This window comes from Homo sapiens, chromosome 1, assembly GCF_000001405.40.
Source record: "Homo sapiens chromosome 1, GRCh38.p14 Primary Assembly".
Lineage (NCBI taxonomy): Eukaryota > Metazoa > Chordata > Mammalia > Primates > Hominidae > Homo > Homo sapiens.
In genome coordinates, this window is record NC_000001.11 from 5,842,869 (window position 1) to 5,860,094 (window position 17,226).

Genomic DNA, 17,226 nt, shown 5'->3' on the forward strand with positions numbered 1-17,226 from the left:
AGCGCAGGCTTTGGGGGTGCGGGAGGAGCCGTGCGCAGCTTCTACCCACTCCCAGGGTAGGAAGAGACACGTGCCACCCTGTCCATGATCATGGCCTCATCAGGCCCCTCCACCTGATTCGCAGGGAAGCTGGGGCTCTCCTCCGTCAGCACACTCACCCCAGGGACTGCAACTGAGGGGTGGCACAGCTGTGCTCAAGGGCCACAGAGATGGTAGCGTGTGTCTGGGACAGACAGACATTGCCCCGCACATCAGAGATGCTGCTGATGAGTGGACGATTGAACAAAGAAATAAATGAACCAACCGACACAGCCTCCTAGTAGGGCCACAGATCCCCATGTGCTGGTCTGCAGGGCCAAATGCCAGGGGTGACTTGTTGAGTGCTGGGAGAGTTGCCCCCTCCCAAAAGTCCCTTTCACCATCCCCAGGGGCTCCCAACCTTGGGCGGCCCTCACTGTAGCACCTACTGCCATGGCCACCCAGCCGAGGACCTGGTCCTATGGAGCAGGAGGGGTCAGGGAGAGGTCCTGGGGAGGCAACTCCCCCTATAGCCTCAGGGCACCTCCCTTCAGTCTGGCCTGGCTCTTGCTCAGGGCCTCGGCTCCAGATCTTGTTCAGGCCACGCTGCTTTTAGAAATAAATTGTTTCCAGCAGCCTGTTTCCAAATGTTCATTGATTTTTGTCTCTGTTTTCCCAGCTTCCTGTGACAAGGGATTATTGTGGGTGACGGATTGCACTCGCCCTGTACTAACCCACTTCTTGAAAGCTGTCCACGGCAGAACTGTGGCTCGGTGGGCCACTGAGGGCGTTGGGAGGGCCAGGGGGTGCAGGGGGCCTCTCCCTTTGTTCCTCGAGGCAAAGTGAAGGTGCCGTGCGTGGAGCTCCATGGGTTGAGAAGTGGGTCTGCCTGGCTCAGGTCCCACCACCTCCTCCCACTTGCTCTGTGACTATGAGTAAGTCACCCAAACCTCTGGCCTCAGTCACCTCCCCTGCCCAGCTCCAGGGCACTGGAGGACTAATCAGGCTCGAAGTGTAGTCTAGGGTGGCCGGGCAGCCCCTGGTGTCAGGACAGCTTCCCTGCGCCACCCTCCCCAGGGTGGCCCTCAACCTCGGGCTCCCAGATATCCTCTGCATTCATTCCAGGCTTCCAGAGGAGGAAATGGAGCATCTGGGAAACGGAGCTTATATTCTGGGTGACTAGTGACTGGCAGACCCCTCTCTCCTGCCCCCGTTCCCCCAGCAACCTGTAGCAGGGACATGCGCCCCTCACCTCCTGCCTGGCAGCCCAAGCACCTGCCATCTGCTGGCCTGAGCCCCACACCAGCACCTGCCAGGGTGCCTCAGCCCATCCCAACGGCCCCAGTGTGATGCTAACGAAATGCCAACCTCTCAGCTCTCAGCCTTCCTAGAGGTTCCCCTGTGTGCAGTGCAGTTCTCCGTAGGAGGCAGAGGGAGGGGGCCCTTCTCTTCCAAACGCCTCCAGCCTCCAACTCATCAAGGGCTGCCTCCCCTCCATCCCATGACACTGCAGTGCTGTGGTAGTCAGGGGTCTCTGGAGAAACAGAACCCGAGGATGAGGCGAGGGAGAGAGGGGTGGGGGGCAGAGAGAGAGAGAGGCGGAGCTGGTGCGTCTGAATTCTGCAGCCCAGGCGAGCAGGCTGGGACCCACAGGACTGATGCTGCAGTCTCAAGCCTGGAGGCAGAATCCTCTCCTCCTCTGGGACCTCAGCCGTTCTGCTTCAGCCCATCAACTGATTGGGTGAGGCCCACCCACACCGCAGAGACCACCCGCTTCATTCCAAGTCTCTGATTCACCCGTTAACCATGTTAAAGAACACACCTTCACAGCAACATCCAGACATGCTTGACCAAATACCTGAGCATCACGGCCCAGCTAAGGTGATACCTGAGATCAGCCGCCGAAGTGGTGGGGCTGGAGTTCCGCCTCCCCCGGGTCTCGCCTTGGGTTAAGCGTGCCCTCCTCTTGGGTCTCTTTAAAAGCCACTATCCCACGGGTCACAGAGTGAGGGCACCCTGCCCCTTGCCATGGGCACTGCTCAGAGGCTAGGCCTCCACAAGCAGAGAGCTGGCAAGATATGGAGTTGGGACCTGCGGCAAGGTCACCAAACTCGAGAAAGGGGACCTGGGTCAGATGTGGCTTTCTGTGCCTGGTTCCAACCCAGGGGCCCAGATCCCAGGGGCCACTAGAGGGATGTGTTAAGGGGAAGCTGAGCTCAGGACCCCAGGAAGGAGAGACCCCACGGTCTCAGGAACTGTGGAAAATTCCCATCTCCACCCCCGTGTTCCCAGCGGGCAGCCGGATCTCAAGATGAACCTGGTGGCCAGGCCGCCAATGGTTGAGCTGTGTGCCTGCAGGAGCGGGGAGGTAACTGGTGGCCACCTTTCACCGGGCACTTCCCCGTGTCCACTCGGCAGCAAACACTTGGCAGGCAACCTCATGAATCCTCCCAGCGCCCCATGATGTGCAGTGCTCTTATACCCATCATGCAGATGAAAAAGTCAAGGCTTCAAGAGGAGCAGAACATGCAGAGGTCACCCAGCGGCTGGGCAGCGGACCTTGAGGCAGTTGAGGCCACTTGGTGTGATGATGATGCTGTCTGGGGAGGCACCAGCATCATGTGAGCTTCCTCCCATGGCCTGTGATGTTGCTGAGCTCACCCGTGGTTACTGATGAGAAAACTAAGGCTTGGAGAGGTTGGTGAGTCACTTGGGTGGGACGTCAGTCCATTTGACAACAGCACCCAGGGCCTCCCTCCCTGCACCATGCTGGAGATGCCTGTCTCCACAGAACCTGCTGCATACAGCAGCTCTGTGGCCAGCAGGGGCAGTGGGGCCAGGTGCCCGCTGAGCTGTCACTTGCTGCCACCCAAACCATGAGCTTATGTCACCAGGCCAAAGAAGAACGGGAGATGTGCCTCTGGGAAGAGCCCAGGGGAGCCCCTCTCCTGAGATCTGATTCACAGATCCATGTTGACTAGAGAGGTCAGAGCCCTCCCCTGGCCATCAAGGGGCTCCTGGGCCACAGGTCCCAGGAAGTGGCAGTTACATTGCTCGGAGCCATCGAGCAGGGCAGAAGGGGGCTTCAAGCTGCCCCCAGCTAGAGCCTGACCACCTGCATCCGGGCCCCCAGTGAGTGTCAAATAAGGTCCTGGACCGCACGGCACCTGCCTCATGCTCGGGAAGTGACCAAACGTGATGGTAGGAGATAAAGCCAGAGACATGGGGTGACAGGTTTGAACAGGCCTGAGCTGGCGGCTGGGGGGCTGTGCTCATCTGCTGGTGAAAGAGGGGGACACACCTGCCCTCCTCATTCAGCGCCCCACTCTTCCCAGGTCCCTGGCACCACACTCTCCAGCACACCCCGCTGACAGGGAAGGGCCTAGGATATGCAGATGACCTGTCTAGGCTTCCAGCTGTGTGGCTAGGAGCCAGTCACTGAGGCTCTTTGGCCTCAGTTTCCCAACTCATTGAGCAGGGTATTAGCGGGGCTTGCCTAGTCCCAGGCTGGGTGGGAGTCCCAAAGAGAGGGTGCGGCCGGAAGCAGGGCACTGGAACCCCACCAGCTGTTCTGAGTAGAGGAGGCCTGGAGCTTGAAGAAGTGTGCTTTTGCCTACTCAGAAGGTGGCCACGAGTGGAAAGGGGATTTCTAGCCAAGCCAGATGCGGGTGGAATTCGCATGCAGGCCTTGCAGTGTCAACAGGAGGCCCACCTGCAGAACAGCCCATCATGACCATGTCATCATGGCTGGCCTAAAGGGGTCCAAGGCCAGGCAGACCTTGGCTTACCCCTTCAAATGCTGAATTCCTGAGACTTTCCCTTAACTTGGGCAAAGAAAAGACACTTCCTGCATCTGCATAGATTCCTGGGACTAGAGGCTAGGAAGTCAGGACTGCCAGGTACAGTTGTCCAGGTTGCGCACCTGCTGTAAACAGCGCCCCTGGAGTAGTGTGGGTGGGGAAGGTGCTAAGACCAAACTAATCCCGAGGTGGCCTGACATCATGGAGAGCTCCTGGGCTCCCAGCTCAGCACCTCTTAGCTGTGCCACCCCAATGCTACTTAACCTTAACAAGCTTCTGTCCTTCGCCTGAAAAATGAGCACCGAGGCACCTCCCCTGCACAGCCGCTGAAGAAAGTAGATCCACTAATATCTGAAAAGTGCCTGGGACCACGCCTAGCACAGAGCAGGAGCTTAGCAAACAACAGATCTCATCGCTGTGGTCCCGGAATCTCCAGGCCTCATTTACACACAGAGCTGCCTCAGCCCCTGCCAGAGCCCTGCAGCACGCTGGGCTTCTCTGCCAGCCTCACCCTCCACTGCTAAGCCCCAGAGTCTGGTCGAGCCGCTCCACGCCCAGCGCTGCCCACAGCACAGCCGCCACTGCCTGCATCGCCCCCTTTCCTCGTGACCCAGAATCAGCCTTGTTTAATCCAGAAACCATCTCTCCAACTCTCCGAGAACCCAGACTAGGGACAGACATCAGGACAAAGGCGACTCTCGCCTCTCACCCCCGAGCTGGTTTGCGGAGAAAGTCCTTGAGAAACAGTGCTGGGCAAGGAGCGGAGCTTCGGTGAACCGCAGAGCTCCTGATCAGCACCATGGAGAGCGTCGTCGCCTGCAGCCCGGCAGCCTCAGCGCGCACAGGAGGGTGGGTGTTTGTGTCGCCTGATGCTGCTTCTTGGGGGTCATTGGGAAATGAACTCCAAGGCCTCTCAGCCAGGTGGGGATTGCAGGGCAGAAGGGGCCTGAGGAGGCACTGGGGAGGAAACGGGTCCTCCTGTTTGGGTCCCCCCAAGATTCCTATGCTGAGACCTCATCTCCGGGGTGATGGTAGAAGGGGGAGCCTTCAGAGGTGAACAGGTCACAAGGGCTCTGCTCTCGCGAATGGGATGAGTGCCCTCATAAAAGAGGCCCCAGGCCAGGCGCGGTGGCTCAGGCCTATAATCCCAGCACCTGGGGAGGCCGAGGCAGACAGCTCGCTTGAGCTCAGGAGTTCGAGATCAGCCTGGGCAACATGGTGAAACCCCGTTTTGCAAATTTTTTTTTTTTTTAGATGGAGGCTCGCTCTGTCACCCAGGCTGGAGTGCAGTGGCGTGATCTCCGCTCACTGAAAGCTCCACCTCCCAGGTTCACGCCATTCTCCTGCCTCAGCCTCCTGAGTAGCTGGGACTACAGACACCTGCCACCACGCCCGGCTAATTTTTTGTATTTTTAGTAGAGACAGGGTTTCACCGTGTTAGCCAGGATGGTCTCGATCTCCTGACCTCATGATCCGCCTGCCTGGGCCTCCCAAAGTGCTGGGATTACAGGCGTGAGCCACCACACCCAGCCTGTAAATCTTGTATCTCTAAAAAATACAAAAATTAGCCAGGCATGGTGGTACATGCCTGTGGTCCCAGCTACTCAGGAGGCTGAGACAGAAGGATTGCTTGAGTCCAGGAGGCAGAAGCTGCAGTGACTTATGATTGCACCCACTGCACTCCAGCCTGGGCAACAGAGCAAGACTCTGTCTCTAAAGAAAAACAACAATTAAAAAATAAAGAGGCCCCAGAGAGTGCCTTGCCTATTCTGCCACATGAGAACATGGCGAGAAGCCACCAGCTGTGAGCCCTCCACTGACACCGAGTCTGCTGGCACCTTGGTTTTTGACTTCCCAGCTTCCAAACTGCGAGCAATAAATGGATGTTGTTTATAAATTACCCAGTCTAAGATATTCTGTCACAGCAGCCCAACAGACTAAGACATTGAATGAAACAACAGCCATAGAAGATGGAAGGATTTGTTCCGGCAAGAGTCCTTTGACAAATATCAATTGAGCATCTACCATGATCCAGGCCCTGGGTGCTCGGCCAGTAGCACTTTTGAGATTGCTGAGAATTGCAGAGCTGCGTGGAGTTCTGATTCACCAACCTCGTCCAAAGGCTCAGTCTCTGCTTTAATTACTCAATGTGTTTGGGAAGGAATTGGCGTGTCTGGGAAACAGCCAAGCTCAATGACGGGGGCCCCGGACTTGCCCATCAAGCCTGCCTGGCACTGCTTCCAGTCGCACACTGCATGTCAGTGGCTTGGAGGAGCTTTTGTCACTGTCACTTGTGTGAGAGAGCCGTAGCTGAGGGTGGTCTGAGTGCTGCCTCTGCAGCCCCAGAGATGGAGCCCACTAGCACGGTGGCTTGCAGGCCATGAGACGCACTGGAAGCTTCCTCCCTGGCATGGCTATCCAGGCCCCTGGCTCTCCTGCTGTAGTTGTAAGTTAAAAGGAAACAGAAAGATCACAGCACACTCCATCAGTCCCCTTTCCAAACCCCCGTGGCACCCACTGTTTCGGTCCAGGCCAGCATCCCGCCAGGGAAGCCTCCCCTCACCATCCAGGGTTCTCCAGCCTGCACGAAGGCCAGCAGCATCCAGGGAGCAGGAAGGCAGAGGACACCTCCAGGAGCAGCCAGTTATGGAGCGAGCTGGAGGATAAGACCCAGCCTCCCCGTACTCAGGGGCCCACTGCAGTGTCCACATTGCCCAGAGCTCCCATGGATGAGACAGACCCACTGCCCAGAGCAGAAGCAGCCTGAAGACGTGCCCTCCATGCACTCCCTTCCCTCCACCCCTGGTCTCTACTTATGCTTCCAACCCATCTTCCAAATAATCTGCTTCTGGGAAACCCAACCTGAAACAGATGGTTTCCTAACAGGGCAATCTTGCTTACAGGAAACTTCTAGAAGAGGCTGAGCTGCAGACACACAGGAATGGATCCAAGGAGAACTAGGGGAACTGAAACCCACCGAGAAAAGTGTGATGTCAACACACACACTCACACACATAAATGCACACTCATGCATTCTCGCACACACACTGACACACACAATACACTCACACACTCTGACACTGACACACTAACACATACACACACGTACACATTGACACACTAACACTGTCACAAGCTCACACACTGACACACATTCACACACACACACAGGCATCACATGGCAAGGGCTGAATGACCCTGAGGACAATCGTGCATGCTCACTTTCTTCACTATTTAAAAACAATCATTCTTTAAAAATAATCTCATTTCTTCCTTTTAAAAACAAAGTTGATCTAAAATAACTGATCCTCAGGCTAACTGGTGTGATGATCACTGACAGGTGACTAACTAACTGAATTCATCAGCCAGGGTAGAGGCAAGCCTAAATATTTGTTTAAATTGTTGACCTGAACTAATCCCTGCTTGGCGTGTCTGAATAAAGCAGCAACATGCTCAGAGAGGAGGGTGTGCAGTGGCGTCCCCAGTGGGTCACGCTGCCGTCGCCAACAGTGGATAACGAGGCCGGGGTGGGGGCGCAGCGCTGTCGACTCCGTGGCTCTCTCAGATCATCCACTGGTTAAAAGTAAAAGACAGCTGAACCCTCATGGGGCCATTCATACAAGTCCCTATTTAAGGAACAAGTGATTATGCTACCTTTGCACAGTCAGGGTACCGTGGACGTTAAACACATGTCACTGGGCAGGCAGGGCCTCTAATACTGACAGTGCTAGAGGTGATGTTTTCGGTAAACAGGCGGGGTAAAAATTTGCCAAGTTCCTTTTTCCATGTCTGTGGATGGCCTCGCCTCAGGAGATGAGCACCCAGGAAAGAAGTGAGCTCTGTCCCCAGCCCTGCCACAGAAGCCTGGGCTGCACAGGTCCCACCCCTTCCCGTGCATTTACTTCTGGGCCTCCCTCTTCCCAAGGCCCCCAGGTCTCTGGGCCACCAGAGGCAGGAAGCCTAGGGCCTGGAGCCAGTCATGGGCTCTGGAATCCAGCCGTGGGTGTCTGGCCCTGTGTTGACCTGCACCGATGCCACACGCCCCTCCAGAAGCCGCAAAAAAAGCACCAGCATTCCACTTCAGAGTCAGAGCCATGTACTGACTGGGGGATGATGAAAAGATCAAAACAAACACTTAGTTTAGCAAGGAACGAACATGTAAGAATCCATATTTCTAAAATTACACGTGAGCACAACGTGTCCAGCAGGAGATGACGCTCTATGGCTGGCTTGAATGAATCTCCCTGAGGGACGCCCTTGTCGCAGGAGCAGAGCTGGCCCGGCCTGGAGCGAGGCCCTGCAGGGTTGGACTCTACCTGGCCTCAGCACCTCAGGATGACGGCAGCAGCTTCCCGGGGCTCAGCAACCCCAGGCCATCCCCACGGTCACTGCTAATTACGTTTTTATCTCCATAAAAAAAAATCTGATGACCTCAGAACAGAAACATTCTAATTGTGAAAACACTTTGTATTCCACATCTAATTAGGAGAACTGCAGGAGTGCCCCCCAACCAAGGTTACTGGAAGATTCTGGGATAGAACTGAGAGTAATTTTGAATGACCCCTGCTCCTGGCCCCCTTCCGCCCTACAGGGAACTTCTGTGGGCTTCCTTGCTAGGGAGACAGTGAACATTTCTGCTCGGCTTAGAGGTTCAGGCCAGACGCCTCTGCGGGAGTCCCCGATTTCAGTTCTCCTGGCCAATGTCAAATGGCTCGAGCTGTTCGCTAGTTGAAGTTGCTGAAAGTCCAGTTTTGCTGTGGGAAGAGCACCCTAGAGAAAAGACCAAGTGTAAGCCTCAGGCCCTTCTGCTCCAGATGGCCTGAAGATGGGAGCCTGGGGACAGAGCCCCTGCCACTCCCAAAGGGCAGCGGAACCTTCAGGAAGGCATCAGTCTGGCCAGGGAGAGGCACATTCATTCATTCATGCATGCATGCATCCATTCAACTTCACACCTAGTAAGTGCTGATATGGTTTGGATCTGTGTCCCCGCCTAACTCTCGTGTGAAATTGTAATCCCCAGTGTTGGAGGAGGGACCTGGTGGGAGGTGATGGCATCATGGGGCGGATTTTCCCCCTTGCTGTCTTTGTGATAGTGAGTTCTCAGGAGATCCGGCTGTTTCAAAGTGTGTAGCACCTCTCCCTTCACCCTCTTCCTCCTGCTGCAGCCATGTAAGACGTGCCAGCGGCTTCCCCCCATCTTCCAGCATGATTGTAAGTTTCCTGAGGCCTTCCAGCCATGCTTCCTGTACAGCCTGTGGAACCGTGAGGCAATTAAACCTTTTCTTTATAAGTTACCAGTCTCCGGTAGTTCTTAATAGCAATGTGAGAACAAATGAATACAAGTACCTACTTAATAAACAGGTTGACCCATTTATTGCCACTAGAGATTAAAATATTAAATCACAAACAGAGCAAAGCCTGGTGTATTGTAAATCTTTAATAAATGTGAACTCTTATTATTTGTTTAGACGCTAGTATTGTTGAGATGCAGTGGTGACAAAGATCAAGTCCTCTTGAATCTGATATTCTAACGGGGAAGACAGATAGTAAGCAGGTAAGTGAATCAATGTAAATTGAGTTTAGAGCAATGGAAGGCAGCGTGAGCCACCTGAGGCTGGGGCAGCAGTAGCTCTTGCTGTGTCATTAACTACCCCAAACCCCAGCGGCTCACAACACTGAGACATTCATTTAGCTCATGGCTCTGTGGGTTGGCATCTGGGCTGGGCTCAGCAGGGCAGTTCTTTTGGCCCAAGACAGGATGTGGCAATGATGGCTGGACCCCTCACACATGTGTAATCTGCAGGGGCTGATACAGGCTGAGGGGATGGCCGGGTCACCTGGGACTCCAATCACATGGTCTCTCATCCCCTGGTAGGTTCTTGTGGGCTTATCCCCATGGTGCCCTCAGGGTCCTGAGAGCTCAAGAGCAGAGCAGCAGGCAGAGTGGGCCGAGCCCAGGCAGGGCACCATGCCACCCCCGCCGCATCCTAGTCATCCTAGCCCCAGGGGTAACACAGACCCCACCATGATGGGAGACTCCATAGAACACCACACCTACATTCAGGACTTATCCCAGGAAATGTCTCCCCTAGCCAGGTGCCCGGCAGCCCTCTCTAGGAGGCACCACCACAGAAGGAAGAGCCAGCCACGTGGGCGATTCCAGGCAGAGTGCAGAGAAGGCCCTCGCTCTGGCTAGGAGTGGCCTGCATGGGCTGGTGGGGGAGGCTGGTGGCAGCCAAGGCCGACGGGAGGGGATTCGTGGACTGTCAGGCAGCAGAGGACTCCAGGCAGGGGGGCAGCTGAATTGGCAACATTCAATTCTTCCAGGAATATTCTTGGAGAGCCTCTGGCAGGGAACAAAGACAAACTCCATGTGTGGCAGGCGGACAGACATGAAGGAGCTGAGAGGTGCTGTGGAGAACGGGAGTCCCAGGGAGGGTGATTTGGGGAGTGGGATGCAGGGGAGGCCTCTCAGATGAATGGGCAATCAAAGCTCCTTCCCCACTGAGGCCGGGGAGTGAGCCACGTGGCTACCTAGGAGAAGAGCATTCCAGGCAGAGGGAAAGGCATGTGAATGCCCCGAGGTGCAGCCTGCTGGACACATTTGACAAGCAAGGAAATGTGTGGCCAGAGCCACAGACCAGGGGAGGAGTCAGCAGAGGGGAGGTGGGAGCAGTGGCTCGGGCTTGGGGCCATCCCATGGACTCCAGCTGAATGATGTGGGAGCCACTGGAGGTCCTGCCTGGACTGGTGTGTTCACAGGGTGCTGTGTCTGCCATGGGGTGGGGGGATGGCAGGAGACAGTCAGGAGCCATGGCAAAACCTCCAAAGACAGCAGCAGGTGCAGACCACCAGGAGGCTGATCACCAAGGTGTATTTTTGCTGAGCATGGTGTGCAAATCTCCAGCAGGATCAAGAATGACCCAGATGAGCCCACATGGCCAGCTCTCCAGCCTGTCCAGCAACCAGGAGCATCTTCCTGAAACTGCACTTGCTTAGGCTGCACGAGGGCCCAGCTCTGAGCAGAGATGTCTCCTCTCGAAATCTCACCCTTTTGCAGGCCCTACACCTTGAGAGTCTGGGGAAAGCTACGGATCCTCCCTCCATGAAAATTCCTCTGCACACAGAATTCTGCACGTGATTTCACGGGTTTCAGAGACTCCTGACTGAAAGGGGAAAGGATGGGAGATCCCCCTGTATTAGTCCATTTTCACGCTACTGATAAAGACATACCCAAGACTGGGCAATTTACAAAAGGAAGAAGAGATTTAATGGATTTACAGTTCCACGTGGCTGGGGAGGCCTCACAAGTAGGATGGAAGGCAAGGAGGAGCAAGTCACGTCTTACATGGATGGCAGCAGGCAAAGAGAGAAAGCTTGTGCAGGGAAACTCCCATTTTTAAACCATAAGATCTCGTGAGACTCATTCCTTATCACGAGAACAGTGCAGGGAAGACCCACCCCCATAATTCAATCACCTCCCACCAGGTTCCTCCCATGACATGCAGGAATTGTGGGAGTTACAATTCAAGATGAGATTTGGGTAGGGACACAGCCAGACCATATCACCCCCTTTCCCCACAGAGGAGAGCACAGGGGAGTCTGGTGCTTCCTCAGGGCCCGTGTGCACAGGGCCCCACATCACCCAGCTCCTGACATGGCCAGCAGCATCCGGCCAGTGTGCAGGCGATGGCTGTGTGGCGAGGCTGGGATCTCCGAGCCTGTAAGTGTCCACAGGCTGTCTTTGTTCTGCCTGCATCTCACTCCATGACAGCAGTGGCCCCTCAGGGGCAGGGATAGTAAAGGAACCAATGACAGACATGGCATCTGCTCTTCTTCTGGGGGTGGAGGCAGAGAGGTGAGTCCACGAGGAGACCTCAGCCACCCTGTAGCACACGCCACCCCTTCCAAGCTCACTTCAGACCTTGGTGGGTGTGGTCTGCCCAGCATTCCCCCATTCCCCCAACCCCCTTCTTCCCTAACAGCCCCCAGGGAGCAGCCTCCCCCAGGCTCTCTAACCACTCCAACCAACCCTCCTGCTCCGGGGCTGGAAAGCCAGAGCCACAGGTTCAGGGCTGGACATATAACTTAGCCAGAGAGAGGCACAGAGTAAAGCCTGGGCCCTTCACTCCAGAAAAACATAACTAGGAGTTTGAAGCTAGCACTGTCCTTGCACTGAGGGGAGAGCCTGTCTGAGAGCAGAGCTGACACCGAAAAGGCAGAGTAAAACCATGGAGGGGCATGGGCTCCTGGCAACAGAATCTGAGCAACTGGATCCAGCCATGCCTGAAGACGGAGTTTCCCCAGAAGGTATGAGAAACCATCACAGCTGCCTTCTGGCTTATGCTGGTTTGAGCTGGGTGTCTGTCCCTTGCAAACAAAAGGCGCCCAATAGCATTGGTCCAGTGAAAGTCCAACAAATCCAGTGTGCAAACAGAGGACCAGTTCATGTGAGCTCCCAGCAAGCAGAATTAAGGTGGACATTTTAAATGATGAATCATTTAGGGGACCACTGTGGGGGGTCAGCAATGTGAACAGAAGCCTGACAGCTACCCTCGAAAATCCCAAATTTCATAGCCCACTGCACAAGGCTGACCCCTCCCCTGTCCCGAACTCCCCACAGACACGGGCCAGGACTCGCTGCACGGGGAGCTGCCCACGCGGCACCCTGACCCTGGCACTTGCTCTTGTTCCAGAGGCAGAGGGAGAGCACTGAGAGAGGACGCCACCCACCCCGGAGCCCAGAGAATCGGGGCACCTCCATGCAGGGCCCAGCCACATGGAGCCTCCCGCAGGCTGATGGCCCAACAGAGGGAGGACAGGGTCCCCCCAGGAAGGAAGGCTGGCTTGGCTGGAGAAGAGAATGCTAATTAAAGATCCCCCATTCTCAGCTCCCTGCAGAGACAGGACCCTATGGGCAGAGGGAAAAGGCCTGCTGAGGCAAGGCCGGGTCACTTCTGTCCACATCCCATCGGCCACACCCGCAAGCCGCAGGTGGACACCCCTCCCATAGCGACACTGCCAGTCAGATGGCGTTGGGCAGGAGGGGCAGCAGATGATCAGGGACAGTCCTGCAGCGCACCACAGGGGACCTGCTGCACCCAGCTCTTACCTGGTCAGCTCAATGCACCTTCATGGAGGAGACCAAGGCACAGAGAGGCTTCAGAAGCAGGAAACAGCCCAGCCCTGCGCCCTGAGCAGGGCGAGTGGTTAGAGAGGGTGGGATGGAGCCAGGAGAGGATGGGCCTGCAGGCCCCAGAGAGGATCCTTGCCTGCGTCCTACCCTCTGAAAGGTTTACGCAAAAGAGGCGACAGGATCAGGTCTGTGTTTCCTGACAGTCGCAGCAGCTGCCATGAGCACTGGATGAGAGGGCGGCGTGAGGGCAAGTGAAGCCCGGGGTGGCCCAGGAGGGTAGTGTGGACAGCACTGACCCTGGTACCAGGGCCCCACATGCCTTGGAGACCACACTCCTTCCCTCAAGCCCCTACTAGCTGTCTCAGAACCTGGGTCCGTGTTGAGTCACACACACAGGGGCTGTTGCTTCTTTCCCTTAAATGTGGGTACAGCCCCCACCTAGAGGTTCTGCCTCCAGGAGAAACTCACACTGGCGCGTGGCTATTTCAAGGTTGAATTCTTGTGATAAAGTTTACCTTGAGAACCTGGAGTCCCTACTCAATTCAGGACGGCTGACCAGCCAGGATGACGCGGCTTCTTCGTGGCCAAGGACGGCCACCCAAGGGGCTTCTCTACACGCACCAAGGGCCACCCTGTCGATGGGGTCACTCCTTAGACTTACACCAGACCTTCTCTCCCCAGCACTAGGGACCTTCATTTGCTAATTATGTGACTATTTAGGACCTCCAGGGAGCTGCAGGTCCCACGACTCCTATGTTCGCTTCCTGAGGCTGCCGTAAACAACTGCTGCAAAGTTGGTGACTCACAGCAGCAGGAAGTTATTCTCCCACAGCCCTGGGAGCCAGAAGGCTGAGATCAAGGTGAGGGCAGGGCAGGTTCCCTCTGGAGGGTCGGAGGGAGAATCTGTCCCAGGTGTCTCCAGCTTCGGTGGCTCTGGTAATCCCTGGTTTGTGGCTCTCTCTAGCCTCTGCCTCTGTCGCCACGGAACCATCTCTACGTGTCCCTTTCTGTCCCATACGGACACTCTCCCTGGGCTTAGGGTCACCCCAATCAACATGACTTCATCTCAAGCCCTCGTTTCATCTGCAAAGACCCTCTTCCCAAACAGCCGGATTCTGAGGTTCTGAGTGTATGTGAGTTTTGCAGGGACAGTATTCAACCCCTGAAGTTGGGGTGACTGTTCCTCAGTCATCCATTCTCCCACCAGCAAGGGGTTTCCCAGGACCCCCTCGGAGAGGTGAGGGGTAGTGTTGAAACCCAGGGGCCTGGCCCGAGGTGGATCTGCCCAACCTGCAGAGAAGCTCCCGGGCGCTGCACAGCCTCCTGTGGACCCGCTCAGGCGTGGTTTTGGCTTGGGGTCAGGAGAGCCAGTGGGGCCCACGTGGCATCACCAGCGGAGTGCGGCAGGTGGAGCGCCAGCGTCCTCCAGGCAGGAAGGGTCTACATTCTTCATTTCCCGTCTGTAGGGTGGCATCCTGCACAGGGCCAGAGAGACCCACTGTGCTTGGGCCGTGCGAGACAGCGACCCACCTGAATACCTCCCGTGGGCACGCCACCAGCTGCTCCTGAGCCCTCTGTCTCTTTCTCTGTCAAGGCCTCAGCGCACCTCCCGGTAAGTGCTACCCGAGGTTGCTGGGGTGAGAGCGGCAGCGCCTCCGTCCACAGGAGAAAAAGCGGTCATCAGGGAAGCAATAATGGCTGTTTCCCCACCCTCTTAGAACCTGAGGCAACAATTTTAAAAAGTGTCTTATTTCTAAATACAGACAAACATAGCATTAAATCATTATCAAACATGAGAAATACAAAGCAGCTCATCTGGCTTGCATTTGACTCCATTTAGTGAAAAGTAGCTTTCAACAGGGGCAGGAGGAGGGAGGAGCAGGCGGGAGAAATGAAATCACAGCTGAGAAATGCCCGTGATGGGAATGATAACGGCCCCTTTGAAAGGCATGCGGCTTTGCACGGAGAGAGCAGCAGCTCAGCGTGGTGCCCTCATCGGGGGAGTCCCAGGTACCCCGTCCCCATAGGCAAGCGCTGCAGGGCCCAGCTTCCACGTGGGCATCCCGGCTCTGCCCAGCTGGACCTGCGACTGGCAAGAGGGGAGTGGGGAGTGAGTGAACACGCCAGCCCACGCCTCAGGTTTCGGCACAGGACATTGTGGGCTCATAAAGGAAGAGACAAGGCTGGTGTTTTGCAACCCAGAGCACACAGCAGGCTTGACCTGGGGTTTGTGCCCAGCAGAAGAGACCCCTCCCCGAGATGCCTCTTCTCGTGGAAGGCCAGGGTACACCCAGGAACACACCCAGCTGGAGGCCAGCAGCAGAAGGCATGGGGTCCTGACCGGCTGGCCGAAGCCCTCAGGCCACCCCACCCTGGGCGGAAGGAGCCCTTTGGGGTGGGCAGCTGTGGAGGGGTCCCAAGCCTCAACCCAGCCCCACAGAGCCAGCAAGAGGCACACGCGCCACAAGCACTGAGAGTGGGGTCTGCGGGATGGGGGTGAGGCAGCCACGGCATCGCCGCCCCCCACGAGGACTGGGCTCCATGCTGACGGAGGGCCGGGATCAGGGCCGGAGAACTCACGGGACATGGCACCTGTCCACTCCAGCCCACCAGCTCCTCCCCTGGCCCACTCGACCCCCTGCCCTGGCACAGCCCTGCAGGCCCCTCGCCAGCCTCCCCTGCCCCGCTGCCCCTTTGCAGGGCCCCTGCCACTCCATTCTCTCTCAGCTGCCTCCTACGCAGAGAGGCCCGATCTCCAAACTAAAGTCCCTCTTCACACCATCCCCCTGCTCCCCTCAGACCCTCAGCGCCGCCCGACAGACCGTGACGGGTCCCCATGTGATCATCTGGGCCCCCAAGAAAGCCAGGTACTGGGCGGGCAGCATCCATCTCCCCCGGCCAGGGGGACCTCTGTCTACACTCGGGTTGAATTGAGGGCGTGAGGAGCACGTGGCAAATAGAGCTTCGCTGGCTGATGGCGTCTCTCTTGCCAAAGGCCAGGCCGCTTTCTCCTCGTGGGCTTGAGGGATGCCCCTGTGTCCTCCAGCCCACAGGCTAGCCTGGTCCCGTCCAGAAGGGCACACGCTGCCTGCTCCTCGAGCCTGGGCGGCACCTCCTGCATCTGATGCTGTGGTTCCCTCCTGTGCCGTGGGGGTGACAACGCAGACGTGAGAGCCCGGTAGGCTGGGGTGGTGGCCACGTTACCAAAGCACCTCGAACAGGCGGGAGCCCTGGAGGCTTGGCCAGCTCTCTGCTGTCGCCTTGTGGGGCATCGGAGCAGCTGAAGGGCCTGAGTCCTTGCTTTACAGACCAGACACGGGCAGGGAGCGCCGCGGGCCCCTCTGCTGTGCAAGGACCGAATGGACTCGGGGGATCCACCTCTCCAGGAAAAGCAGCTGCTTCCTGGTCTTCCAGGGGGAAAACCCACGTGACGAAGAGCAGGCCCCTCAGAGCAGGCAGCATCTCTCTGCAGGGGCCGGGGAGGCAGCCAGCTCTTGGGCGCATCTGGAAATGGAGGGGGCGGAGATGAAAGTGTCCCACACCCCTCCCCAAGGCATCTGATGAGGCCTCCAGAGCCCCCGCACCATTAGGAGGCACCCAGGGCTGCGTGAGTGCCTTCTCAGAGCTCTGCCCGTCCAGCAGGATGTTCCTGTCTAGGGTTCGCCAGCACCTCAGGTGCGGGAGCTGGGGCAAAGTCCAGGAGGCATCCTCAGCTTGGCCACAGTGGAGGAGATGAAGGCAGCCTGGGAAAGCAGAGGCGACAGTGCCCTCCCTGACAGACTGAAAATCCCAAACTCCTCCTGCAGCTTCGCAGCAGAGACGCAGGAGCTGAGGGATGTGGCCCGCGCCGAAAATGGCAGACAACAAGGTGTTGCTACCTTTAGGGAGGGGCCTCCTTTATCCCACGCATGCCCACATCTGTGGGGTGTGGAGACCTTTTAGGAACACAGAAGGACCCGTTTCCTTATCCACGATCTCGAGAAGTCACCATGGACACCTACGGCATCGACTGTCCCCACGGAGGTCTCCCTTCACTCCCACCCTACTGTCTGCCCACAGATGTGGCCGTGGGACCAATGGCTCTAAGCATATCCCTGCCTGAGGCACGTGGGGTCCCGCAATCAGAGCGCTGGGGCGGCTTCTGTAGCATGACGGGGTGCCCGGCCCAGGCCCTCGCACTGACCTGCAGCCCAATAGCCCAGAGGCCTGGGAAAGGGACCCAGCCCCAGACCCTCCTGCCTCGCCCACCTAATTCTCCAGCACCGGAGTCCT

General features: G+C 57.0%; 8 annotated features.

The window, feature by feature from the left end:
- Positions 4,518-4,718: a silencer, noted in NCBI's record as "peak24 fragment used in MPRA reporter construct". NCBI's record gives its function as "represses an SCP1 promoter by STARR-seq MPRAs in K562 erythroleukemia cells {active_cell/tissue: K562}" and the evidence as "EXISTENCE:reporter gene assay evidence [ECO:0000049][PMID:32103011]".
- Positions 7,387-7,587: a silencer, noted in NCBI's record as "peak25 fragment used in MPRA reporter construct". NCBI's record gives its function as "represses an SCP1 promoter by STARR-seq MPRAs in K562 erythroleukemia cells {active_cell/tissue: K562}" and the evidence as "EXISTENCE:reporter gene assay evidence [ECO:0000049][PMID:32103011]".
- Positions 7,387-7,966: a biological region, named in NCBI's record as "H3K4me1 hESC enhancer GRCh37_chr1:5910393-5910894".
- Positions 7,465-7,966: an enhancer, noted in NCBI's record as "H3K4me1 hESC enhancer chr1:5910393-5910894 (GRCh37/hg19 assembly coordinates)". NCBI's record gives its function as "activates a minimal SCP1, AML or CMV promoter by ChIP-STARR-seq in primed H9 embryonic stem cells {active_cell/tissue: H9 hESC(primed)}" and the evidence as "EXISTENCE:reporter gene assay evidence [ECO:0000049][PMID:30033119]".
- Positions 7,967-8,466: an enhancer, noted in NCBI's record as "H3K4me1 hESC enhancer chr1:5910895-5911394 (GRCh37/hg19 assembly coordinates)". NCBI's record gives its function as "activates a minimal SCP1, AML or CMV promoter by ChIP-STARR-seq in primed H9 embryonic stem cells {active_cell/tissue: H9 hESC(primed)}" and the evidence as "EXISTENCE:reporter gene assay evidence [ECO:0000049][PMID:30033119]".
- Positions 10,179-11,023: an enhancer, noted in NCBI's record as "H3K4me1 hESC enhancer chr1:5913107-5913951 (GRCh37/hg19 assembly coordinates)". NCBI's record gives its function as "activates a minimal SCP1, AML or CMV promoter by ChIP-STARR-seq in naive H9 embryonic stem cells {active_cell/tissue: H9 hESC(naive)}" and the evidence as "EXISTENCE:reporter gene assay evidence [ECO:0000049][PMID:30033119]".
- Positions 14,647-15,399: an enhancer, noted in NCBI's record as "H3K4me1 hESC enhancer chr1:5917575-5918327 (GRCh37/hg19 assembly coordinates)". NCBI's record gives its function as "activates a minimal SCP1, AML or CMV promoter by ChIP-STARR-seq in primed H9 embryonic stem cells {active_cell/tissue: H9 hESC(primed)}" and the evidence as "EXISTENCE:reporter gene assay evidence [ECO:0000049][PMID:30033119]".
- Positions 15,400-16,152: an enhancer, noted in NCBI's record as "H3K4me1 hESC enhancer chr1:5918328-5919080 (GRCh37/hg19 assembly coordinates)". NCBI's record gives its function as "activates a minimal SCP1, AML or CMV promoter by ChIP-STARR-seq in primed H9 embryonic stem cells {active_cell/tissue: H9 hESC(primed)}" and the evidence as "EXISTENCE:reporter gene assay evidence [ECO:0000049][PMID:30033119]".